The 27,763-nt window shown below is 47.0% G+C and overlaps 1 protein-coding gene across 12 annotated transcripts in view; it reads right to left on the bottom strand.

Moving 5' to 3' along the window:
• ZNF831 (zinc finger protein 831) overlaps positions 1-27,763 on the bottom strand; it is a 135,726-nt gene that overhangs the window by 64,044 nt on the left and 43,919 nt on the right. For 9 of the 12 annotated variants that reach the window (XM_047439881.1, NM_001384354.1, XM_047439880.1 and 6 more), the window contains one exon: positions 313-4,086. In XM_047439881.1, coding sequence (XP_047295837.1) covers positions 313-4,050 — 3,738 coding nt within the window. In that variant the 5' untranslated portion in view covers positions 4,051-4,086. Of the gene's footprint in view, positions 1-312; positions 4,087-12,089; positions 12,161-21,652; positions 21,737-22,316; positions 25,209-27,763 lie in introns of those variants that run through there. The other 3 variants (XM_005260273.4, XM_011528537.3, XM_011528538.3) reach the window with 3 other exon arrangements.

Here is a 27,763-nt window from a genome sequence, read left to right as displayed (position 1 = left end):
TTTTTGCTTCTGTTACCAGGAAGCTCAGTTAAATTTTACATTTGGTTATGAAGACTATCTCACCTCATGTCTTGAGTACAGTAATTCTTTCCTTTGGAATTTATGTTTTCCGCAACTCTGTTTTGGTTTGCATTTGGGCCTTTATTCCTTCCTGCTGTCTATGTGGTATCCCCAGCCTCCCTCAGGAACAAGCAAGCAGTGAACAGCAGATGCTACATGGGACGGCTTCAGACTTCCTTCCCTCATGAGAGGTCTTACGGGATAACAACATGCTCTCTCAACCCCGGGCCCTGGGGCAAAGCCCAGCTTTACCTTGGACATCTGCGCCGGCCCTCCTTCTCCAGGGCTTGTCCAGGTCCATCCTCCATTGCTCCCAGGAGGGCCATTGGGACCCTCATCTCGGAGGCTGCTACCAGGAAAGTGCACCGCCAAGTACACAGATGCCGCCTTTGCCTTCTGCTCCGCGGGCAGAGGGACACTGCGGCTCAGGCAACACCACGTGAGCCGCGGCTCAGCCTTCAGTGAGGGAAAGGGGTTTTGGGTGCTGTGGGGACTGCGGGTGCTGTGGCTCCGGGACGTCCCTGAGTGGGAAGACAAGGCCAGCTCTGGCCAGCCTGGGGGCACACCCTGAGGCCGAGTGAGGGCAGTGAGGAAGGAGCCAGGCTGGAGGGGGGAACACGGGTCGGGGCCCACCAGGGGCCCTGAAGAAGGATCTTCTGGGGCATTCCCAGGAGGCTCCCCCAGCTCCCAGTTGGGTACCCAGGGATTCAGGACATCCCCAGAGAGCCTGGCCCTTGCCAAAGTGCTGCCCATGCAGAGGCGATGGATACGGTGGCTGTCACCCTCCATGTCCTGAACTAAGTGTGCCTCACACGTTGGAGTGGGCGGGGAGGAGGTAGCCTCCCTGGGAGCCCCTGGTGCTGAGATGGGCAACTCCCTGGCTGCTGGCCTGCTAGTGGCCATCCTGTCCCCCTTGTCCCCCCCCAACTGTGCCCCTTTTCTCCCATCCTGTGGCCTGGAACAGCTGGGGTCCTCCAGGATGCTGTCCGCCTCACCTGGGGAGGGGCCTGAGGCTGGGCTGGGAGAAAGAGGGGTCCCCAGTCCTGACCCAACAAATGATGCCCGTTCTTCAGGCCACCCACTGCTGCAGAGAGAGTCCTGGCTGTGCCTTGGTCCCCAGGGAATGGGCAGTGGTAAGGGGGTCTCTGCCTGAGGTAACCTGAGGAGGTACTTGGGGGAAAAGGCATTATCTGCCAGGGCAGAGAGCACTCTAGGAGCCTGAGGTGGGGTGGCCAGCGAGGGGTGCTCTGCGGGGGCTGGGGCTGCAGGATGCAGTGGGGTAGCCTTGTCCCTTGGCCCCACCCTCTTCAGGGCAACAGAAGCAGCAGCCAAGGAGGCTCCAGAGGACTCCAGAGGCTCGCCCACCTGCCTGGCACTCTCCTTTGAGCCCCCTGGCACCTCCCCGGGATCGGCATCCTGCTTCTGGGATGACAAAGAGGCAGGCTGCGTGGGCCCACCTGGGGTCTCTGCGCTCACAGGCTCTGGTTGCTTCCAGCTGTGCAGGTCCTCCACTTTCAGCTTCTTCCTCTCTGAGGGGAGCTTGTCCTCCCCTGAGCCCCTGCTGGGCCATCTCAGGACAGTCTGGGCCCACAGGCAGGTCTCCTGAACATCCCCCACACCTCGGGCACCTCCTTCCAGCTTGGGGTCCGGCCAAACTGGCCTGGGAGCCTCTACATCACCCCCTTTGAGGGGGCCAGGTGCTGGGGGCATCTGCCACCCCAGTTCCAGCCTCCCATTTGGAGAGACCAGGGGGCTCCTACTGCCTGAACAGGGACTGTCTCTGCCACCCAGTGCAGGGGATGACACAGCCTCTTCCACCCTGGGTCGGTCACTGTCTCCTCTCCTGGCCACCGTCTCCCCATGCTTAGTGGGTTCAGTCACCAAGGAGGCCTCCAGGGCTGGTGGATTTCCCCAAGGCTCTGGCGTTGCCCCTGCGGATATGTCCTCATGGACAGGGGTCCTCCTGTCTTGGGTGGGGACTGTGCCTGAGCTCCCTGCTGCCTCTTTCTGCAGAGGAAAGCCCAGTTCTGCCCCACTGCCCATTCCCACCTCCCTGGCTTTCTTGCCTCCATGGGGACTGGCTTTCATTTTCTGGTAGATCCTTTTGAACGTCTCATCCCCGTACACCTGCCACTTCTCCTGGGAGAACATCTTCAGCCTTCTCTGGCCGCACTTCCTGCCGCCCGCTCTGCCCTTGCCGGCCATGGCCTCCCGCGCAGCAGTTCTCTTTGCGTCTGTGTCCTCTGCGGGCACCAGGGCATCGCCAATGGGGGTGCCTGGCAGGTCCTCCACCGCGGCCTGTCTGACCAGGGCCCGGGGATGCCCACTGGGAACGTCAGTCGAGCTTAGTCCCGAGCGGCAGCCCAGGCGGGCTGGGCCGGGCCTGGGGCTCAGAGGCTTCTGCGTCCTGGACCAGGGGTCCCGGGGCTCCCTGGGCTCCAGCCACGTCCTGGAGCCCTCGACGAAGGGCAGCGAGTTGCTCCTGGTGACGGGGACACATTCCACGGTGGTGGAGAGCTGAGTGGGGACGGAGTGGAAGAAGAGGGGCCGAGACTTGTCTGGGGGCGTCCAGGTGGAGCGCACGGGGCCCGGGGCCCTCCTACGGCCTGGCTCCAGCGCGCGGATGTCAAAGTGGAAGGAGTCCTTGTAGGTGTAGGGCGTGGGCAGGTCGATGCTGCCCTGTTTGGACAGCCCGGTCTTCCGGGGCCGCACGTTGTCCAGCTGGGCATCGTCCACCACCGCCTGGTTGTGGGAGATGAGCTGGGCGATGCGCTCCTCCAGCCGCTTCTTCTCCAGCTCCAGGCCGGCTTCTCGCGCCCCGGGCTCGGCCCCTGCGACCCCTGGCCCCGGGCCCGGGCCGCCCTCCCCCTCGGACTCGGCGCTGTGCTCCGAAAGGCTGTGCAGGGGGCTGCAGGGCGCATGCGGCTGCTCCGCGCTGTCGGAGCGCGACAGGTACCCCGAGTCGGTGCTCTCACACTTCCGCAGCCGGCCCTCGGGGGCCTTGGCATCCCAGGGCTTCTCCGCTGCCGTCGCCTGCTGCCGCTGCAGGGCGCACGGCTTCCCGGCGGTCGGCGACTTCTGCTCTGGCAACTTACGCCAGGGTTGTGTGCTGGCCGCTGGGAGCCCAGGTGACGCCATGGGGGCAGAGTCCCAAGGAGCCTCTCTGTCGGCAAATGCGGACCCTGGACAGGGAGCAGCTTCGGTCCTCACATCCAGGTTCTTGGCAAGTAGGGGCACGTGGGCACCCGGAGAAAGGGGTCTCTCCGAGGCGCCTTCGTGCATCCCCTGGCACCTGCTCTCGCCCCTGCCCTCTGGTCTGGGGGGCTCTCCGGCCTTGTCCCCTTCCTCCAGGAGGCCGCCCCCGGCGCCCTCGGACTCTGAGGACAGCCGGGAGTTGTTGAGGTGCGTCTGCGTCCGCCTGTGCTTGTAGAGATTGCTCTGGGTCTTAAAGGCGATGCCGCAGGTGGCACACGGGAAGGGCCTCTCACCCGTGTGGGACCGGATGTGCTTCTCTAGAACACTGGGCTTCAGGCAGTCGCGACCACAGTGCGGACACAGGTACTTGCCCGCATTCCGCACCTTGCCTGGGCTGCCCAGCGTGGGGCCCAGGCCCGGCGACAGGACAGGCAGAGTGCCCACGATGTTCACCGTCAGCGTAGGGGCCGCCGGCTTCCCCACCTGGGTGGGGCCAGGCCCTTCAGGCTGCAGCACAGGGCTGAGTATGAAGGGCACGTTGCCCCCATCTAGGCTGCCCGTCACTAGCGGGGCGCGGGGCTGGAGGCCCCCGGGAGGCACCGTGTGGTACAGTGGGATGGGCAGGGCCTTCAGGAACACAGTGGGGGGGGCCAGGCCCTGCTCTGGCGGCAGAAGGACAGGGCCCAGGGTCAGGTGAGGTGAGGCCTGGCCACCTGGGGCCCCTGGAGGGCCAGGAGTGGGAGCTGGCTGGTCCCTCGCAGGAGGGGCAGGGCAGGTGGGTTCTGGAACCTCCATTCCGCATCATCTGGATGGCCCACAATGCTGGAAAACCTGCAGACAACAACCAAACTTTACCATGGGCACCTCTCCTCTCTCCTCATGCAGTAAATCTTGCCTACCCTGCACCAAGCACTTCATCACCCAACGGAAGCCTGACAATCCCCTAAGGAATGTACTCTCATCCCAAGCGAGAGGAAGGTACTCTCATCCAAAAGGGAAAGCTGAGGCTCAGACAGCGAAGTAACTTGTCATGCAAGCTGACATGTGGCAAAGCGGGATTTGGACCCAGATCTGTCTGAATCCTGTCTCTTATTTAACATGCCATCTGCACAGGTCCATGGCAGGTTTGCCACCATCATCCCCTGGCACCAGCACAGTGCCACATGCAGAGACACTCAGAAAGTGTGCTGACTTCATGAAAAAGTCATGCAGCTTGTTCAAGGTCCTCGAAGTTCACAGTGATTCCGTGCACTTGCACAAATCCCTTTTCTTCTCTGGGACTGTTTCCAGATCTGCAAAATGGGCAAGGAATCAGGGCCTTCCCACTCTGAGGTTCTGAGTCTCTGCTGCAGGATGAAGACAGCAAGAAAAAAAACTGACGCAAGGAAAGGCTTGCCAGATTTATCAAACAAAAATCCAAGACTCCCAGTTAAATTTGATAAACAATGCATAGTTCTTTAGTGGGAGTATGTCCCAAATATTGCATGAGAATTACTTTTGGTATAAGTATGTCCCAAATCTCACACGTGCCATGCTTATACGGAAACACTGAGCGCTGCTTATCTGAAATTCCAATGTGGCTGGGCATCCTGTATTTGATCTGGTGACACCACTAGGAAAAGGAGCACTTCCTCAGCCTCAAGACAAGACTTAGGTCTCTGCTCAAAGGTGGGGCTTCCAAAGCCCCTCCAGACTGAGTTAGGACAAAACTGGTTCCCTCTAAGCCAGGAGGAGTAGCTTGGCAAATCCTAGGGGAGGGAGCAAGAGAGGTCCAGCTATGCTCTTCACATCACAAAGGAAAAGCCAGATGCAAGAAGGAAATTCTGGACAGGCCTGTGACTAGAGAATCAGGGGTCCCCAGATCCTTTTTCCACAGATACCCATCACCAAGGAGCTCCATAAGCACATTTCACCCATCCCCAGCTCCGTTCCCCAAGAAAACAACCACATTCCAGCCGTTAGCAGTAAGGGGTTCTAAGCAGGGTGTGGCGGAAGTAGTAGCACAGCTGGACATGGTGGCTCACGCCTGTAATCCCAGCACTTTGGGAGGCCGAGGCGGGCGGATCACCTGAGGTCAGGAGTTCAAGACCAGCCTGTCCAACACGGTGAAACCCCGTCTCTACTAAAAATACAAAATTAGCCGGGCATGGTGGCAGGAGCCTGTAATCCCAGCTACTCAGGAGGATACGGCAGGAGAATTGCTAGAATCCTGGAGGTGGAGGTTCCAGTGAGCCAATATCGCACCACTGCACTCCAGCCTGGGTGAGAAAGTGAAACTCTGTCTCAAAAAATATATAAATAAAAATTTAAAAATAATAAAAAACATAGAAGTAGCAGCACATTGAGCTGGCTCATACCACTCATACTGGCTCAAGAGAGCTGATTGTTAAATTTTCAAAAATTGCGCAAGCCAGCTGTGAAACACAGCCCTAATTAAAAGATACGTTACATAAACTTACAATCAAATAATGTTAAAAACAAATAAATGACAACTGGATAACTTAAAATTGATTACAGTCTCAAATGTAAGCACTAAAGTTATAAAACTCTTAGAAGACAAAGGATTAAAACCTCATGACTTTTTTGGATTTAGCAATGGATTTTTTTATTTTTTTATTTTTTTATTTTTTTTTTGAGATGGCGTCCTGCTGTGTTGCCCAGGCTGGAGTGCAGTGGTGCGATCTCAGCTCACTGCAACCTCTGCCTCCTGGATTCAAGCTATTCTCTTGCCTCGGCCTCCTGAGTAGCTGGGATTACAGGTGTGCGCCACCATGCCCAGCTAATTTTTGTATTTTTAGTAGAGACCAGGTTTCACCATGTTGACCAGGCTGGTCTCGAACTCCTGACTTCGGGTGATCCACTGGCCTCAGCCTCCCAAAGTGCTGGGATTATAGGCATGAGCCACCACACCCGGCTGCAATGGATTTTAAAATATGACACCAAAAGTACATGCAGCAAAAGAAAAATAAATTTGACTTCAAAATCTAAAACTTTGGTTCATCAAAGGATACTTTCAAGAAAGTGAAAAAACAGTCCACGGAATGGGAGAAAATATTTGCAAATTATATGCATGATATATCCAGAATATACAAAGAACTCTTACAATGCAATAACAAAAGACAACCCAATTTATTTATTTATTTATTTATTTATTTATTGAGATGGAGTCTCACTCTGTCGCCCAGGCTGGAATGCAGTGGCATGATCTCAGCTCACTGCAACCTCCGCCTCCCGTGTTCAAGCGATTCTCATGCCTCAGCCGCCTGAGTAGCTGGGACTACAGGCGTGCACCACCACACCCAGATAATTTTTGTAACAACCCAATTTAAAAATGAGCAGAGGACTTGAATAGATTTTTTTTCTCCAAATGCCCAAAAAGCACATAAAAAGATGCTTCATCCCATCAGCTATTAGGAAAATGTAAATCAAAACCACAATGAGATAGGACTTCACACCAACCATGGCTATGGTAAATAATAATAATAAACTAATAAGCAATAAAATAACAAGTGTTGGTGAGGATGTGGAGAATTTAGAACCCATAAACACGACTGGTGGGGATATAAAATGATGCAGCCACTTTAAAAACAACTGGGTAGTTCCTCAAAAAGTTAAACATGTATTACCATAGGATCCAGCAATTCTACGTCTAGGTATATACCCCAAAGAATTGAAAACAGGTATTCAAACAAAAATTTGTACGTGCATGTTCACAGTAGCTTTATTCAAAATAGTCAAAAGAGAGAAATGACAGAAATGTCCATCAGCTGATGAGTGGATAGACAAACGGCAATATACAGTACCGTAGAATCGTAATCAGCCATAAAAAGCAACAAAGTGCTTGCACATGCTACAACATGGATGCACCTTGAAAACGTCATGCTGCATGAAAGAAGCCAGACACAAAATATCACGTGTTTTATAATTGCATTTGTATGAAGAAACTGGAATAGACAAACTCACGGAAACAGAAAACAAATTATAGTGGTTGCCAGAGGAGGGGGAGAATGGGGAATGAGGCTTTAACTGGGTACAACGTTTCCTTCTGGGGTGATGAAAATGTTCTGGAACCAGACAGAGGTGGTAGTTTGTAAAACTATGAATGTACTAAGTGCCATAGAATTGTTCACTTTCAAATAGTTAAAATGGTGAATTTAATGTTATGTGAATTTTACCTCAATTGTAAACAGGTACTGTCTCAATTTTTTTTTTAAAGTATTGTCTTCATTGAGCAAAGGTACTCAATTTTTTAAAAGTACTTTGGGCTGCTATAACAAAAATACCCTAGATTGGGTGGCTTAAATGACAAATATTTATTTCACACAGCTCTGGAGACGGGAAGTTCAAGATCAAGTTTAAGTCCAAGACAGGTTCAGTGCCTGGTGAGGGCCTGCATCCTGGTACCTAGATGGCCGTCTTCTTGCTGCCCCCTCACATCACGGAAAGACCAGTGGAGCTCTCTGGGGTCCCCTTTATAAGGCACTCATTCCACTCATGAGGGCTCCACGTCATGACCTGACCACCTCCCAAAGGACCCACCTCCTAATACCATCACATGGGGAGTGAGGATTTTACATGTAGATTTGGAGCTGGGGGGAAGAAACATCCAGTTCACACCAGCTCCTACATACTCAGAGCTCACCACTGCTAAGGATTCTATGGCATCTTCCATTCTCAGGGATCTTGGGGCCATTTATGTGGGATGTGCTGGTGTGGTGGGAACGCTTCCTGGCAGTGTGGAACGTCACACCTCTGGCTCTTCCCAACCTCAGCATCAGTAGCATCATGTTCACAGCTTGAACTGGCCACAGTGGAAGCACTGACACCACAAAAATCAGCAAATGCTACAAGTCAGTCCTTTTTTTTTTTTTTCATCCTGAAAGCCAGTCTCAACATTTACCAGCACATCACTGAGCAGAAGGGAGGACCCAGAAGACCATTGCACCCACTCTCTGTCCCTCTCCTAAACCTCTGGTCTCATTATGAACCTCACCACACTAGGCCATCTGCAAGAGCCCCTGGCTTCAAAACAATCTGAGACGTTCTAATTGTTTAAGGAAAGATGTAAAGGCAGGAATCTTTAGAGATTAACAGGTAGCTGCCAGAACGGATAAGAGCTAATAGGAATGGAAGATAAAGGCTTACCTCAAGACGCTGCAACCTTTCTACTAGCTGAGAATTTCAGGAACCTCCCCAGGAGACCAGTAGGCCTGAATTTCTGTCTCTGCTTAACCATCTTGCTAGAGGGTGGCCCTGAGACTGTTTCCTCATCTCTAAGAACAGTGGCATTGGGGCAGAGCCACCAGGAGGTTCAGATGAAATAAGTTATGTGAAAACACCAAGTGCTGTGCCCAGCACAGAGTAAGCGCTCCATTTATTTCAGTTTTCAATTATACGCCATAATATTTTGAACTATTAACTACCGGTTCCTCCCCCACCCTGTCTTCCTCCTACCCTTGTCTCTTCCCCCATCCGTCAGCTCAGCAGTCTCCATGCATCGCCTCTAGCAAGGGATGCTGTCTCGGGGTGGGTTCCTGAGAAAAGGATTCCATTCCCAAGTATTTTATTTGGGAGGTGATCCCAGGAAACACTTGTAAGGAAATGGGAAGGCTGGGGGTGAAGGAGGCTACAAAATGTCCAGCAAGTCCCCACTGTGGGTGACTGGAGCTTAATCCCACTGGGGGACACCAGGAGATCATGTAGAACATGCACCCCAGGGGCAAGTGAGCTGCCTGCATCGGGACTGCCTGTGGGAGCAGCCATGTCCTGGCATTTCCAGCTGCACGCATGAATGCACGGGGTAGGCTCTGTGGCCACAGGGAGCCATCAGACACAGAAGCACTGCCTGCAGTTGGCTCTTAAATGCTGAGTCGGAGAATAGGTGAGCAGGGCTTCTGTCTTCCTGTGGCAGAAACTCAGTAAAGGCGTTTTAATTCCAAAAGCCCCAAACCCTAAGGAAACTGGATGAGTACAAGCCTCCTGTCCTGATCCCCCGGTTATAATGGTCATGGGTGGGGAGGTCACGGAAGGGAGGAAGGGAGAAATAAGTCCGTCCAGCTCCTGCCTCAGTGGCAATTCCTGCTCCATTCCCCAGGGCAGTCTGGAAAGAGGGGTGCCAGGACACAGAGCATCAACAGCCCGGAGTGTGCGTCCAGGCAGGAGGACGAGGCACACGCAGAGCTCTCGCTGCAGGACGAATTTCAGAGCACCCAGAAAGGCCCTGAAGTGACTGGGAAAATGGGGCCAAATTGAGGGGGTTGTCACCCGAGGGGTGTCTCAGTGGGGGCCTGCCTGGGGAGCTGAGGGCTGAGTATCATGTGCCCCCCAAAAACTTTAGCCCAACCTGGGGGTAGGGGGAGGAGGAAAAGGAGCCCAGAACTGACTCTCATAGGGTGGGAGGCTTGGGGCTTCAAAGTAGAAATGCCAGGAAAAGAGCGCTATGTTTCCGACACACCTGCCACGATGATCATTTTGTGCTCTCTGCAGCCTGTTCTGTGATCACTGCGAAATTGACGCCTTTGAGTAACAGCTGATCCCTGCTGGCAAGATGACAGCTGACTAACACCTTCCTCGAGGGAGATGACGCTTTTCTCAGGAAAACCTCAAAAAGCTGCAGATAATTTTGCTCACTCTGAATCAAGGAGATGGCAAGTCCTATTGTCCCCATTGGACTGATGGGGAAGCTGGGGGCCGGGGCTGGGAAAGCAGCTCGCTAGAAGGCTTACCTCTTTGAGCGAGGGAAGGGTCCGGGACAGCCCCTTGGTCACCTGGACTGAATGCCAAGCCCTCACCCTGTTGCCATCCCCAGGCTCCCACACGCAGGGAACTTGGCGCATCCCTCATCTGCCGCGTGTGCAGCTCCCCACCTCCTCCCAATTCCCCCCCACAAACAGTTATATCTTTTGGCGCAAATGTGCAGCTTTATGGAGGAGAGGGGAACAAAGAGGTGGGAGAAACTTGAAGAGAAGAAGTGACAATTTCCCAAGCCCTCCTTTGCAAAAGCAAACCACAAATGAGCCTGGGCAAAGAGAGAACATGAAAATGCCATAAGTAGGTTTTTAGAATTTACATTTAGGGCCCCGAAAGAGAAGGCCATGGAGAAGCATATTGGATACGTTTAGCAGATAGAACTTGGGTACTAAGATGGCTGGTGTAGTTACAAGTTTCCCAAACTTCCGTTCATCCTGGACCACCATCACCCACTCCGCCACGTATGGGGACCACTTACGCTGTTACTCAGTCCCCACCCTACCTGTGTAGAGCCTCATGCCTAGAACACCATTGCTTTAAAAGGGATGCATGCAATGTGAATGCACTTCATGCCACTGAACTGTATGCTTCACAATGGTGAAAGTGTTATATTTTATGTATGTTGTATCGCAATTTTCAGAAAGTAAAAAAAAAGGGGGGAGGGAGGAAGAGGAACTATATCATTGCCCAGTGAGTTGAAAACTGACATTCACACAAAAACCTGCACACTGATGTAAACATCAGCATTGTAATTGCAAAAACCTGGACGTGAGCAAGATGTCCTTCAGTAAACATCAGTAAACACACATCCAGACAATGGAATATTATTCATCGATAAAAAGAAATAAGCTAGCAAATAAGCTGGCAAGCCACAGAAAGACAGAGAGGAAACTTAAATGCATGTTCCTAAGTGAAAGAAGCCAATCTGAAAAGACTTTGTCTTGTGTGGTTCCAACTGTATGACCTTCTGGAAAAGGCAAAACTATGGAGACAGTGAAAAGGTCAGGGGTTGCCAGGGGTTGGGGGAGGAGGGGATGAAGAGGTGGGTGGAGTGAAAGGGATTGTTCTGATCCTGTAATACCAAATACTTGCCACTATACATTTGTCAAAACTCATGGAACATGCAATACCAAGAGAGAACCCTAGTGTAGACTATGGACTTTGGTGTCTCTCAGTGGGTTCACCAGTTGCAACCAATGCACCACCCTCATTTGCAAGATGCTCACAACAGGGAAAACAGTGGGGACACAGGCTGAAAGAGGTGGATGGGAGGTCTCTGTACTTTCTCCTCATTTTTCTGCAAACCTAAAACTACTCTTAAAAATTGTCTATTAACTTCGAAAATTGTTTTAAATCAAAACAGTTTTTTAAAAGAGATGTGAAAAGATAGTTATCCTCATCAGCCAAGAAATGCAAGGTATAAACCATGATGTCATGTTTTGCCTACTGCAGGAACGAGGGGGCCAAAAGAAATAAATACTTGTAATAATTGGGCATAAAAGCGGGCGGTGGGGATACTGAATCAATCATCACCAAAAAGAGAAGATCAATTTTCCCTACGAACCATTAACATAAATACCTATTAAAATTTTTCAAATATGTATCTGTAGGCCACCATGCATGCTCTCGCACACCTGAGTGGTATGGTCCTCTACTTTGAAAAGCACCTGCCTAACTTACAGTCTTCACCTGATACACCCTTGGTGTAGACCCTGTACCTGCAAGGCTGCAGCAACATGCTCCCTAGTCCACTAGCACCCAGCTAGGCTTGCCCAAAGGGAGGTGCTGGCAAGTCCAGGCAGGAGGGTAAGGTCAGGCCTGGCTCCAAGGTGGCCTTTGTCCCTCTACTCAGGGACAGACTTTCGTTAGGTGGCCCTCTCTAGGTCCAACCACGGTTCCCACGTTGGCCTCTCATGCCTGGAGTGGGTAACACTCCCCCACTGCTGCCAGCCCTCAGGTGCCCCAACTTCCCAGAACCAGGCCCACACTTGGTAAATGGCCCCACATTGAAACCCCTCTCAGTCGCCCACCCACTTGAATGTGCATCTAGGCCAGCCAGGACCCAAAGGGAAATTACAACTTACCTTATGTGCGCAGGTGAATGTTCCCAGAGAGCAAGAGCAGCCCTAACTTTTGTCAGATTCTAGAAGGGTCTGGAAGGGTCTCTGAGGGTGAGAATAGCTGGTTAGAAACAACGCCTCCCTAAAAGCAGGGGAGGCTGCCCACTTCCTGTCAGGGCCAAACACATGTTAGTTCCCACTATGACTTCACCCAAATTCATTCTGTTTAGTGACAAAATATGTTTTGCCTAAACAATTATGATAAAGGAGCAGGCCAGAAGAGAGTTTACAAACAAACACACAGTGTGCAGAAAGCTTAGGCAAGTTGGAGGAGAGGAGTGTCCCCTGCAATTGCCTAATTTTCATACACAAATTACGTGGTTTCCCTGTAGATGGTCAATCGGTTGCAGATGTGTGGAAGGAGAAGCTTGATGTCAGGTTGGCTTTGGCAAGAGGGAGGGCCTGCCAGCTGCGCTCAGCCATCCCCGTCCCCTGTCTTCTTGGTGGAAGAAGAAAAAAGCCTGGGTTTGAGTTCTGGTTTTGCCACTTACCCCCTCCCTGTGAAGCTCAGCAAGTTCCCTAACCTCAGGATTTTCATTTGTAAAATGTGGATAACGAGGATTAAACAGATGCTACCTATAAGCACTGATCACAGCATAATGCAAAATGGGAAAAATCTGCTGAAAATTATTCAGCTAATTTTCTCTTTTTCTTTTTCCCAAGCCCATCAGTATTACCTTGATCTGCCTGAGACATCTTCTGCCTAAGCTTTGCAGGTTCACAGCACAGGGAGCTGACCTTTATGTGACACCATGTCCAGGCCACAGGCCCAAGGTCTACACATGCCCTAAGCCATCTAATCCACGCAGCAGGGAGGTGCTGTTATTAATCTAACAAGAGGAATAAGGCGCTGAGAGATGGAGGGATTCACCCAAGATCAAGGAGTTGAGAAGTATATTCCTTCCAGTGAAGAAAGACAGAGAGAACAGGGAAGCCTGGGCTGGCATGCAGAATAAGATTGGCATAAAGGACCTCTTCAAGGAGAACTACAAACCACTGCTCAAGGAAATAGGAGAGGACACAAACAAATGGAAAAACATTCCATGCTCATGGAAAGGAAAAATTAATATCATGAAGATGGCCATACTGCCCAAAGTAATTTATAGATTCAATGTTATTCCCATCAAGCTACCAGTGACTTTCTTCACAGAATGAGAAAAACTATACTACAAGGCTACAGTAACCAAAACAGCATGGTACTGGTACCAAAACAGATATATAGACCAAGGGAACAGAACAGAGACCTCAGAAATAACACCACACATCTACAACCATCTGATCTTCGACAAACCTGACAAAAATAAGCAATGGGGAAAGGATTCCCTATTTATTAAATGGTGCTGGGAAAACTGGCTAGCCATATGCAAAAAGCAGAAACTGGACCCCTTCCTTACACATTATACAAAAATTAAGATGGATTAAAGACTTAAATGTAAAACCCAAAACCATAAAAACCCTAGAAGAAAACCTAGGCAATACCATTCAGGACACAGGCATGGGCAAAGACTTTATGACTAAAACACCAAAAGCAATTGCAACAAAAGCCAAAATTGACAAATGGGATCTAATCAAACTAAAGAGCTTCTGCACAACAACAGAAGCTATCATCAGGGTGAACAGGCAACCTACAGAATGGGAGAAAATTTTTGCAAGCTACTCATCTGACAAAGGTCTAATATCTAGAATCTACAAGGAACTTAGACAAATTTACAAGAGGAAAACAACCCCATCAAAAAGTGGGCGAAGGATATGAACAGATACTTCTCAAAAGAAAACAATTTATGCGGCCAACAAACATATGAAAAAAAGATCATCATCACTGGTCATTAGAGAAATGCAAATCAAAACCACAATGAGATACCATCTCGTGCCAGTTAGAATGGCAATTATTAAAAAGTCAGGAAACAACACATGCTGACAAGGCTGTGGAGAAATAGGAATGCTTTTACACTGTTGGTGGGAGTGTAAATTAGTTCAACCATTGTGGAAGACAATGTGGCGATTCCTCAAGGATCTGGAACCAGAAATACCATTTGACCCAGCGATCCCATGACTGGGTATATACCCAAAGGATTATAAATCATTCTACTATAAAGATACATTCACACATATGTTTATTGCAGCACTATTTACAATAGCAAAGACTTGGAACCAACCCAAATGCCCATCAGTGATAGACTGGATAAAGAAAATGTGGCACATATACACCATGGAATAGTATGCAGCCATAAAAAAGAATGAGTTCATGTCCTTTGCAGGGACATGGATGAAGCTGGAAGCCATCATTCTCAGCAAACTAACACAGGAACAGAAAACCAAACACTGCATGTTCTCACTCATAAGTGGGAGTTGAACAATGAGAACACATGTACACAGGGAGGGGAACATCACACACCAGAGCCTGTCGTGGGGTTGCCGGGGGGGAAGGGGAGGGAGACCATTAGGACAAATATCTAACGCATGCAGGGCTTAAAACCTAGATGACAAGTTGATGTGTGTAGCAAACCACCATGGCACATGTATACCTATGTAACAAGCCTGCACGTTCTGCACATGTATCCCAGAACTTTTAAAGTAAAATAAAAAATAAAAAAGATTTCTCATAAGATGATCATCTGTGCTTGAGCCTGGGAGCTTGAGACCAGCCTGGGCAACATAGTGAGACCCCCATCTCTACAAAAAATAAATAATTAGGCAGGCATGGTGGTACACGCCTGTGGTCCCAGCTACTCAGGAGGTTGAGGTGGGAAAACCGCTTGAACTGAGGAGGTTGAGGCTACGGTGAGCTAGGATCACACCACTGCACTCCAGCCTGGGTGAGAGTGACACTCTGTCTCAAAATAAAATAAAATAAAATGATCGTCTAGAAAGCCAGATATTGTTTATGAGAGTGAAGAGTTTTTCAAAATTACCTTCACTCTTTGTTTAATATTTCACGCTCCAAGGAGGGAGGACCTGTGCCCACAACTCTCCTGTAGAGAAGATGCCCCTCTAACAGTGGCACAGCAAAGATATGGGCCTAGCTGCCTGATAGGTGAGGGCAGCTTTATGTAAGGGAAGCATGGTGGGTTGAATCGTATTCTCCAAAATAGCATCCAAGTCCTGCCCCTACTACCTGCGATTGGGACCTTATTTGGAAATAGGGTCTTTGCAGATATCATTAAGTTAAGGATCTCAAAATGGTATCACACTGGATTTAGTGGGGTCCCTAAATCCAGTGACTGATGGTGTCCTTATAAGAAAAGGAGAGGATGCAGGGACCCAGGGGGTAGGCCATGCGAAGACCCACGCGAGGACGGAGGCAGAGATGGGGCAAAATCCAGCCACAAGCCAGGGAATGCCTGGAGCCACCAGGAACTGAAAGAGGCCAGGAAGGACCCTCCCTTGCCCTCTCCCACCCAGAGCTTTAGAGGGAGGGTGGCCCCTCCCTCTAAAAATCAAGGATGCCTTGATTTCAGGCCGCTGGTCTCCTGCACTGTGAGAAAATCCATTCTGTTGCTGTGAGCCCCCCAGTGTGTGGTCATTTGTTACTGCAGGCTCAGGAAACAAATCCAGGATGTGAAAGGAAGCTCTGCCCTTCGCTGGACTGTAGTGAGAAGCGGATGGGTGCGGAGGAGGAAGGCAAGTGGGAGGGTCAGGCTTCAACCAGAGAGGAGCAGGTACAAGCGGGGGTAACACCAGGGCTATCCCCCAACTTCCCATTGATGGACTCTATAAAGAGTCGTCTTCACAGGCTGTCCATGTGTGACCTGGTGTGAGGCACGGTCGGGCAGTGGGTGCCCCAGGGCTGCACTGTCCTGAGCCACTGTGGTCCTCCCATGATATGAACAGAGTCTGTCGTGGAGCTCACAGTGTGCCAGGGTGGGGACAACTAGTGGGAAGAGGTGCTCTGTAATGAGGGCTCCAGGGTGGACCCCCCGCCCTTCAAGTCCTTCATGCTGGGGGTGGAGGATGGGTAAAAGGACACGACATATGGGGACATAAGGAGACTGGGTGTTTATTTGATAGAGTGTTTAAAAGAGAGCGGGCTCTGGAGGACGACCCAAATCCCACCATGCATTTCCAAGTCCTGTGACTCAGATGAGCTGCACAGCCTCCCTAGGACTCGGTTTTCTTGTTTGTAAAATGGAAAAATATTGACACCTCCCCCATGGCATCATGTGATACTCAAATGAACTGTAAACATGCCTGGCCAAAGTAAAAGCCTAATGGAATCAATAAATACATGTTTTTTCTTCCACTCCCACTGATCTTAGAGAAGATCCGATCAGCTATGGAAAAGTAAAGGAATATTTTCTTTTAGTATATCCAAGTTGTAGAGTGAGTTATTAATACATTTTTTTCAAGGCATGAGACTCTTTCTGAACCATTATACTGAATGACTGCATAGTATCCATCACTGACCCAGGATGGCCCAGGGCCCTGTATACTACCTGGCACATAGCAGGTGTTCAATAAATATTGGTTGAGTGAATGAATTATAGCCTTAGATAAGACTATAAAGAAATGGCCTGACTTAAATTATCACATTTGAGAAAAAGGGAAGGCATTTTTATGTGAAACTCCTCTGAAGAGGTTCCTCACTTACTTGAGCCAAACCATGCTGTTCTGGTCTACTTCTCAGAAATTCCCAAAGGTTTATACAGCAGAGTCCCTTAACGTGCAAATTTAATTCACTTGAATTCAACCTCACAGGCTGCATAAGAAAATAACAATTTCCACCACTTGGTAATGCTCCTAGCTGTCAACTCATAATGCCCAAGTGAAAGGAGGGGGCTTGAAGCCCTGGTTCCCTCAAGCAGGCTCAGCCCCACATGGCCCTCACAGCTACTGCTAAACACGACTCCAGTGTTTCCAGTATTTTTGGTACAACATGTGCCAAAAATACAAGCTTCTCGCCGCATCTGTTGATTAAACCAGGAAATAAGACAAAATTCAAAACCAAAAGAAAAACTGGCTGAGTTGGAGGTACTGAGAAGTACTGTGAGCAGATCGGAAAAACAGCCTCGCTTCTTCACACCTTTCTGTTTCTGTGGCTTCTGCAAGGGCACTTTGCTACTCCTCCCATCAAGATCTGGAGACTTTTTCTCCACTCCTCAACTCCAGGCAACATCGTGTCACATTAGGGATGGTGTGCCTAGGTCCCAAGAAGCTTGCACGCTTCTGCTCTGCTTCTGCCATGAGAACAAGCCCAGATGAGCTCCCAGGAGGATGAGCGACCATGTGGAGCTGAGCCAAGCAATCCCAGGAGAGACCGTCCTCGTCCAGCCAGTGAGGGAAGAGTGCAATTTTAAATGAGATGGGCCAGGTGAGCATCCCTAACAAGAATGTCAGCTCCATAACACAAGCTCTTTCATTTACTGGTCTACTGTATACCAACTCGTCCTAGTTTGTCCTAGACTTGCCTGGTTTTAACATGGGAACCTAGTGGTGGAATGAGCCATGCTGGTACCTGGGGTAAGAGTGTTTCCTGCAATGCAAAGGCCAATGGATGCAAACAGCCAGTGCAAAGGCCCTGAGGTGGGAATGTGCCTGGCATGTTTGCGGCATGACACACTGAATCAGAGGAACTGCACCCACAGACGCTAGCCTGCTCAACAATATTTTTTTAAATTCTTTCTGGGCAAGTATACTATTTCCCTGGGCTTTTGTTTCCTCATCTGCAAAATGGAGAGAACAATGTCTGGGTACCTAATGACCTGAAATTATGGATACTAGGGATGCCATGCTTAATTAAATGACAAGACGCCTGTCTTGATTACTGCTGTGACTGTTACTCTCCTCCACGGCAAATGGAGAAAGCAAAGCCTAAAGCTTTATTGCTGGACAGAAGACAAGGCCAGCACAAGGATGAGAACTGCCATCCAGAACTGCTCTCCTTCCACCACTGAGGGCCACTTGGAAGGTGACCTCTGCTGGCTGTTGTGTGCCAAGGGCAGATCTTTCCAGTATGGGCCTGGCTGTGTTGGAGGTTTATCTTGATTCCTCGTGGCTTAGAACACAAAATAAAATGTTACATAGCACCACGATTCGTGATTGCCTAGCAGGCTATCAACAGATTTGTTTAGGATGTGAAATAATGAATTCAGAATATTGTATTGATGATGGTTATTCTTTTATATAATTACAATAATTATCCAGGAAAATAGCAAACAGATGCAGTGCTGAATTCAAATAAAGGGTAGGAAGAAGCGTCCCAAATACTGACGTGATTCAGAATATTATATGAGTTAACCCTACCTCTTAAACTGCCCATGTCAGAACTACAAGGTATGGATAGGCACTCTTTATAAATGGACATAATGTACGCACTAAAGCGAAATACACATGCGTGTTACAGTGGGTCTAGGGGGGTTACTCAGAAAAGGTATGTCAGTTAGGACCCAACATGATTCTATGGCTGCAGACTGACAGGTGGCAAGAGATCATGTTCCTCAAATTTCTCCATCTCTCAATGGGATGTATTTTTTTAATTAAGGTACAATTTACATACAGTAAAATGCACCCTCTTTAGTGTACAGTTCTGTGAATTTTGACAAGTAAATACAGTCGTGTAACAACCAACATAATCAAGAAGGCCATCACATCCCCAAATCATGCCTCCCTCTCTGGTCAATCCCTTCCTCCACCTCCAGCCTCTGGCAACCACAGATCTGTTTTCTGTCCCTATAAGTTTGTCTTTTCCAGAATGTCCTATAAATGCAACCACATATTATGCGGCTTTTTTGGTCCAGCTTCTTTCATTCAGGACAATACCTTTGAGAGCCATCCAAGCTGTTGTGTGCTCCAATCATTCATTCCTTTTCCTTGCCAAGTCCTGTTTTACGGTGTGGGTGTGCCACAGTGTGTTAATCCACTCCCTCTTTCTGTGGGAGGCAATAATAAGGCATTCCTAGCTCTTCCAGACAGGGAAATGTCAGTAAAGGCCTGGCAGAAAGCCAGTGCTACTATCCTTCCCAGGAGGTAACAGGGCCTTCCCAATGAGTACCAACAGAGGCTGAGTAGGGAACCTCAACTTCCACTCATCTCTTCCCCAGTCAGAGCAGTAGCAAAGGAAGCCAGCTAACACAGAAGGGTCACTAAACCCAGACTCTCATACCATAATGCCCAAAATGTCCAAGTCTCAATTAAAAATCATTTGTCATACCACGAACCAAGAAGACCTCAAACTGAAAGGAAAAAGACAATGCACAGATGCCAACACCAATATGCAAGAGGTGCTGGGATTCCCTGACAGCTATGAAGCAGCCATCATGAAAATGTTCCCATGAACACTTACAAATATGCTTGAAACAAAGGAAACATAGAAAGCCCCAGCAAAGACATAGAAGATAAAAGAAGAACTACATGGAAATAATAGAAATGAAAAATACTATAATCAAAAATGTAAAAACTCAGTGGATGCCCTCAACAGCAAAATGGACAGGACAGAAAAAAAGAATCGGTGAACTTGAAGATAGGACAATGGAAATTACCCAATCTGAGCAACAGAGAGAAAACAGGATGAAAATTAAAAAAAATAAAAAAAAAATGAACAGCCTCAGGGACCCATGGCACTAACAAAAGGTCTAATATTCCTATCATCAGAGCCTGGGAAGGAGAAGAGAAAGAAGATGAGCTTAAAAAGTGCTCAAATAATGTTCAGGAGCTTCAATTTGGCAGAAGACATAAAGCTACAAGTTCAGGAAGCTGAGAGAACCACCCACCCCCACCCCCACCACCAGGATAAACCCAAAGAAATCCACACCAAAGCACGTCATAGTCAAACTCCTGAACTCTAAAGATAAAAAATATTGAAAGAAGCAAGTGAGAAACAATGCCTTAGCTACAGAAAAAACAATTCTAATGAAAGCAGGTTCTCATCAGAAACTTGGAGGCAAGTAGAAAAGGGTATCACATTTTTCAAGAGCTGATGGAAAGGAAGTGTCAGCCCAAAATTTTATATCCGGTGAAAATATCCTCCTGGAATGAAGGGGAAATCAAGATATTCGCAAATAAATGAAAACAAATAGAATCTGTCACCAGCAGGCCCACCCTCAAAGAATGAAAGTTCTCTAAACAGAAAGGATGTAACAAAAAGAGAAACTTGGAACATCAGGAAGGAAAAAAGAACAATGGAAACAGTAAAAAAGTGGGTAAAAACATTCCCTTTTGAGTTTTTCTTTTTTGTTTTGGGGTGTTTTTTTGTTTGTTTTGTTTTTTGTTTTTTTTGTTTTTGAGACAGGGTCTTGCTTTGTCACCCAGGCTGGAGTGCACATACATTGATCAGTGGTGCGTACATGGATCACTGCAGCCTCAACCTCCTGGGCTCAAGCAATCCTCCTGCCTTGGCATCCCAAAGTCCTGGGATTACAGGCATGAGCCAACACTCCCGAGCAAGTTTTCTTAATCATGTTTGGTGGCTGAAACAAAAATTATAACACTGTCTGATATGGTTCTAAATGTATGTAAAGGAAATATTTAAGATAATTCTAAATGTGAGGGCATAAATGGAGGTGAGATTTCTACTCTTCACTCCAACTGGTAAAATAACGACACCAGCAGACTATGATAAGTTCCATATATATAAAATGTAATACCTAGAGCAACCATTATGCGGTGGTATCTGAGAGAACCAGCCTGAACCGCAGGCTGCAAAAGTGCTCCCTGTGCAGCCTACAGCCTTGGATCAGGGATAATCCATCTGCAGCCTTCCAGACAGGGAAACTAAAGCCGCGTAAAGCCAGCTAGCCTCCCGTGGCCAGGAGTCCACACACAGTGGCCGTTTCCTCTGCAAGCCCCACTTCCTCTATGCATGCCACAAGCTCCAAAGCCTTCTGTCCTGCTGTGCCCAGGCTCCCAGATGCATGCCCACATCTCTGCTTGTGCATGGTCTGCTATCCAGCAGCACCCCAGAGGGTTGTCAGCTGTTTGCCTAGCAACTCCACACAATCTCAAGTCTAGCTGAATCAGCCAACTTCTCTGCTTTCTGGTGGCTAAAATCACAGCTTCTCCAATGAGACCTGAATGCCTTCCAAGTGTGTTGTTTCTTGAGTACTCTCCCTCAATCTTAGGGTACCCTATAGAGTTTCCTTGTACCTAATAGTCACTCTTTCATTGTAACTAATCATTCCTACGCCAAGTTTCCCCTGCATAACCCACTGGGTGGTTTCTGTCTTCTGACTGGGCACAGAAGTCTACAGAATTGTCTCTGGGAATGGTCCCAAGAGATCCCTAATGATGGGATTTAGGGACTAGTGTGGTTGTGCTTTTGGATGTGAGCACAGTGTTGAGCTCCTTGACAATGAGAAATGTGACTCTTGTAACCTGTGAGGTACAAAAGCATCACAATTAATAAAGCCATCACCTGTGGTCAATTGCGGCAAAGTGCCAATTTAGAACATGTGCCTTGGAAGCTCAAGTGGCTTCTGCTCCTGCTGTATGGCAGGAATGATGACCATAAGGGATGTGGTATGAAATGGATTTCTTTTCGCGTCCTTGAGCACTTACAGAGAGAAAATGACAAGCTCAGGTCCATTAATTCCCACCTTGAGTCATGATCTGAGGATCACACAGCCTCCATGACAGCCCTCAAAGAATGTCTCATTTTTGTAGCCACAGGGCTGATGTTGCTGAAAATCAAACAAAAAAATTAATGGTGCAAGTTACTGAATTAAAATGGCAGTTGAATTCACAGTCATGCCAAGCTTCTCATGTGAAAATTTGGGCACTAATCAGGAAAAAAGGGGATCCTAAAACTCGAGGTGAGGACATCTTGTTGGACCTAGAGAAACTGACAACATTGACCTCCAGGTCATTCTGAGCCTCCCGTACAAGTGGCAGCAGCTTCCCCTCCACTGTCCACAGAGGCCAGACTTCCTGAGCTGGAAAACCTTATGATGCCTTCACTTAGGGTAGATGCCTTGAAAGGGAATACTGATCCTTCTCAGAACCCACCACAACAAGCCCCTGCTCCCTCTAGACTTAACTAGATTTAACTGAGTCAAATCTCAGCATGGCCCAAGGAGACAGGTGCTCACTATGACCCAGAAGGAAATGGCTCACACACCAGAAGAGCTGAACGCCCTGGCTAATATGTCAGCAGAATCCTAGGGAACATGTGTGTGCAAATGGATTCTGTGGGTTTATACCAAGGAGGGCAGAAAACACCACCAGCCATTGGACCAAATTCATTGACAGGAGTGCACTTACCAGAGAGTCTCAATTTAGTGTATTAGTTGTGCAGCTGGATGTGGCTTTAACAGCTTCCTAGGTTGGTTGACTGAAATCTGGAAATGATGGTGACCTGCATTTAGTGAGGCCGGAATGCTGGAGCTTCCCTGGCATGACACAGAGGAGGGGCTCTAAAGACTATGGGAAATATGCCTGCTGGGCCGGGTGTATCACAGGCAACCTCCAACTCTCCCAGCGGCATGCCTCAAGAAGACCCAGAAGGCCCCTCTTCAGGAGGGCGCTGAGAAATGCATTAATGAGGGGAGCATCCGCATCCCCGAAAAGATCTGTGGTTGCTCTTTTTCCAGGCCAGGAAGAGCTGTAGGGGACACCACTATTGAGACAGGCTCCCTCATTTCACTGTGGTTGTTGGGGGGTCCCAGAATAGCAGAGGACCAAGTGGCATCACTTCATTGCCAAAGAGAAGGTGAGCGTGCCACGGGAGCAACAGGGAATGGCAGGAATCCGAATTCTTTGGCTCGCAGAGATCTTAGCAGTAACTAACTGATCACGTTGTCCCTCGGAGGGAAAGACCAGTCAGTCTACTATGATATCATAGGAAATCATAGGAAAAGTCCTAAGTGTGGTGGCAAGTAACGTGACTCAGTCATCAAATGGAGACTCACGGCCCTTTACCCAGTTTTCAGAACTAAGGCAGTTTGCAGACCTACAGGCCCTTGATTGAAGGGAAAGCCAGGTCCCCTTGAAAAGGACACTCTACTATTGCCAAAAGGATACACTGTAAATCTTTCTTTATGCCTTCTCAAAGGGACCTGTTGCCACATAGTGGAACAACTGCAATTTGGGAGAAAAGTACATACTCATACTTTTCAGGAGTTAGTAGATATTCCAAGAGGTAAAGAACCCAGGGCAGCTGAGGTCAAGGAAGATGTGGAATGGGTGGTGGAAGAAGAAAGTCACAGATATGAACTACAACTTCATGATCAATTATATAAACGAGGACTGGAGGGGGTTTGTGTATGGTCTCTATGTGTGTTATATGAATGAGTTTTATTTTATCTTTACTAATCATTCTCTACTTCTTTCTCCTACTTCATGTTTTAAATTTTTATATATGAGTTATTGGAAGTTAACTTTACAATTTAGGCTTTAGGGAACAGAATATTCAGTGAGAGCTTGACTGAATTTGAAGAGCAATTGATACAGCCTGTGCTGAGTACAATGACTGCATCTGCTCATTTCGAACAAGTGAGAACCTCTTCACTTGCTAGAAGCATGGATGTATCTTGTTAGGTGGAAATACAGAGCCATTCTGTTGTAAGAAAGTTCACATGCATGTAAAGGGTACACATGGGGCTGCACAGGCAAAGGGATAGACTGTGCCAGATAGAAATTTATTGCCTCTCAGCTCCAAAAAATGCCATTCAATACATGCTGTATGATAAGGGATGCAAACTTTTAAAGATTTTCTCCTTTAAAGTGGACACAGTGCTAAGTTTTTCCAACAGAGGATGTTGGAGGGTCATTGCAGGAGGAAGAGGCTTCCTGCAGTTTCCAGGAGGGGCCCACGAGAGGGCCAGTGGTGTGGGTATGAGGACATGCCATGGAGTTCCCCCTCCCAGCCACAGGCCCCAGGACTCACTCCCTCTGCAACCTTGCAGCCTCAGCCCAGCAGTAATCTGTCTGCAGCCCCCACAACATAAAAACCAAAGCTGTTGCACAGCCTGCCTGTGGCTGGGGGGTTCACATGGATCTGCTCCTTCTGCAACCACACAGCCGGCACACTGTCTTTCTGGGAGCTCTGGAGACTTCTGTCCCACTAGTGCCAGACTCCCATAACACACCCACGTCTCTGGTTGTAGATTGCCTGCCACCTCCCACCTGTACTCCAGAAAGTTGCCCATTGTTTGCCCAGCAACTCCAGATAAGCTTCAGTCTTGCTAAGCCAGCCAACTCCTCTGCTATCCAGTGGGCAAATCACATCTCTTCCAGGGAGGTCTGACTCCTTCCACGTGTGTCCTTGCTGGGAGAAATGGAAGCTGTCTCTTTCAGTTGAGAAGCTGAATCTCAATCCTAGGGTGCCACATGGAGTTCCCTTATGTCTTATAGTCCCTCTTCATTATAGTTAGTAATTCTTATCATCAGCTTCTCTCATTTAGCCTATTGTATGGCTCCTACTTCCTGATTGGACCCAGACTGCTACATCAAGATAGACCACATTCCAGGCCATAAAATCAACCTCAACAAATTTAAAGAATTAAAATCATACAAAGCATGTTCTCTGACGACAACGGAATCAAACTATGAATCAACAACAGAAAGATAACAGGACAGCTTCATATACTTGAAAACAAAATGGCACACAGTTCTAAATAATCCATGGGTCAAAGAGGAAGCCCCCAGGGTAATCAAAAAATACACTGACGTGTGAAAACAAAAATACATCTCAAAATTTGTGGCACATAGCTAAAGCAGTGCTGGGAGGGAAATTTATAGCACTAAATGTTTACATTAGAAAAGAGGAGCATTTCCCACAGTGTGATGATTTCACACTGCATGCCTGTATCAAAACATTTCATGTACCCCACAAATATATACACCTACTATGTACCCACAAAAATGTTTTAAAATAAACTGCTATTAATTGTTTAAAAAGAAAAAGAAAAAGAGGGAGGGTTTCAAATCAAGACTCTAGACTCCCACTTGACTGTAGTAAAAGGAAAGCATAATAAATCCAGAGCAAGCGGAAGAAAGGAGATAATAAAGGTAGGAGAAGAAATAGGTCAAATCAAAACAGAAAAATAATAGAGAAAATCAATGAAAGAAAGAGCTTTTTCTTGGACAAGATTAATAAAATTCACCTTTTTTTTTTGAGACAGAGTCTTGCTCTATTGCCCAGGCTAGAGTGAAGTGGCATGATCTTGGCTCACTGCAACCTCTGCCTCCTGGGTTCAAAACATTCTCCTGCCTCAGCCTCCCGAGTAGCTGGGATTACAGGTGTCTGCCATCATGCCCGGCTAATTTTTGTATTTTTAGTAGAGATAGGGTTTCATCATGTTGGCCAGGCTGGTCTCAAACTCCTGACCTCAACTGATCCTCCTGCCTCAGCTTGCAACATGCTGGGATTACAGGTGCGCACCACCACACCGGGCTAATTTTTGTATTTTTAGTAGAGACAGGATTTCACCACGTTGGCCAGGCTGGTTTCGAACTCCTGGCCTCAAGTGATCCACCCATCTCAGCCTCCCAAAGTGCTGGGATTATAGGCATGAGCCACTGTGCCCAGCCTAAAATTGGTCTTTAGAATCTCTACAAAAACTGACAAAGGACAAATGAGAGAAGACACAAACTATCAATGTCAGGAAGGAAAATGGGCTATCACTACAGACCCTGCAGACATTAAAATGACCTTAAGGGAATACCGTAAATAACTCAGCTCACATAAATTTGATGACTTAGATGAAGTGGACCAATTCCTCAAAAAGCGCAAACTACCATGATCCACCTAATGGGAAACAGATCATTTGAATCACATGAGAATCACACTATAACTATTTATCAGATTGAATTTGCAATTTTGAAGCTCCCTGCTAAGAAGTCTCCAGGCCCTGATGTGGAGAATTCTAACTTTAAAAGAAGAATTAACACAAATTCGACGCAACTTTATCCGGAAAACAGAAAAGGAAATAACACTTCCCAGTTAATTTTAAGCACCTAGGTATTACCCTGCGACCAAACTAGACAAAGACAGCATGAAAAGACAACTACAGACGAATATCCCTCATGAACACAGACTCAAAACCTCTCCCAAAATATCAGCAAATAGAATTCTGTGATAAGAAAAAAATTATACACCTTGAACAAGGATTCCAGGAATGCATTCAGTATAATCCACCATATTAACAGGGTAAAAAGAAAAATCACATAATTATATCAATTGATGTAGAAAACGCTTTTGACAAAATTCAACACCCATTCATAATAAAATCTCGTTGGAAAATAGAAATAGACGGAAATCTCTTAATGTGATTAAAAGCATCTACAAAACACCAAAGTTTACATTATACTTAACGGTGAAAAACTGAATGTTTTCTCCCTAAGATCAGGAAAAAGAAAGATGTCCACTCTCATCACTCTCATTCAGAAGATGACTGAAAGTTTTAGCCAGTAAAATAAAGCAAGAAAGAAATACAAAATACAGGGAAAGGAAAGACTTGCAAGCAGGAAATGAAAAAATAAAACTATCCCTACTTGCAGATGAGATTATTGTCTACATACAAATTCTCAAAGAATCTACAAAAAAAAAAAAAAAAAAACCTCCTCGCACTAATAAGTGAGTGCAGCAAGGACACAGGATACAAGATCAACACACAAAAGTCAATTACATTTCTATATACTAGCTATGAATGGTTGAAAACCAAAATTAAATGAAAAACGAAATATGTAGTTGTAAATCTAATAAAACATGTACAAGACTTACGCACTGAAAACTACAAAACACTGATGAACTAACTCAAATAAAGTCTAAATAATAAAGAGGCATATTGTGTTCATGCATTGGAAGATTCAACATAGTAAAAATGTCAATTCTCCCTAAATTGATATACAGGTTTAATGCAATTCCTATCAAAACCCTAGTAAGATATTTTTGTGGGCATAGACAAGATTATTCTAAAATTTATATAGAAAGGCAAAAGAACTGGAATAACTCAAACAAGTTTGAAGAAAGATAATAAAGTGTAAAGAATCAGTCTACCTAACTTGATAACTTATTATATAGCCAAAGTAATCAAGACTGTATTGTCAGAATAGACACAGACATGAGTAGAACAAAATAATTAAAAAAAAAAACATAAATCAATCTGCACAAATATACCCAACTGATTTTTTTTTCTTTTGAGATGGAGTCTTGCTCTGTCACCCAGGCTGGAGTGCAGTGGCACGATCTCAGCTCAGTGCAACCTCTGCCTCCTGGGTTCAAGCAATTCTCCTGCCTCAGCCAACTGATTTTTTGACAAAGGTTGAAAGCAGTTCTGTAGAGAGAGTGTAGATGTTTCAACAAATGATGCTGAAACAATTGACTTCCGCAGGCAAAAGAAAAAAGAAAAAAAAAACCTTGACCTAAACCTCACATCTTACTTATATAGAAATTAACTCAAAATATTTAAAACAGTCTTAAATGTGAAATATAAAACTGTAAAAGCTTAGGGGAAAAAAAGCACAGGAGAAAATCTTTAGGACTTCTAAAGTGGGAAAGAGTTCCTAGACTTGAAACAAAAAGTATGAGCCATAAAAGGAAAATATAATAAAATGGACCTCATCGAAGTTAATTTTTTTTTTTTTGCTCTGTGCAAACCCCTGCTTATAATAAGAGAATAAAAAACTAGCTACAGATCTGGAGAAAGTATTCACAAACAACATATCTGACAAGGGACTTATATTTAAAATCTATACAGAACTATGAA

The sequence above is a fragment of the Homo sapiens genome, chromosome 20 (genome assembly GCF_000001405.40).
Source record: "Homo sapiens chromosome 20, GRCh38.p14 Primary Assembly".
NCBI classification, from domain to species: domain Eukaryota; kingdom Metazoa; phylum Chordata; class Mammalia; order Primates; family Hominidae; genus Homo; species Homo sapiens.
Note: the sequence above shows the minus strand (reverse complement) of the source record. Positions and strands in the feature narration are given on the sequence as shown.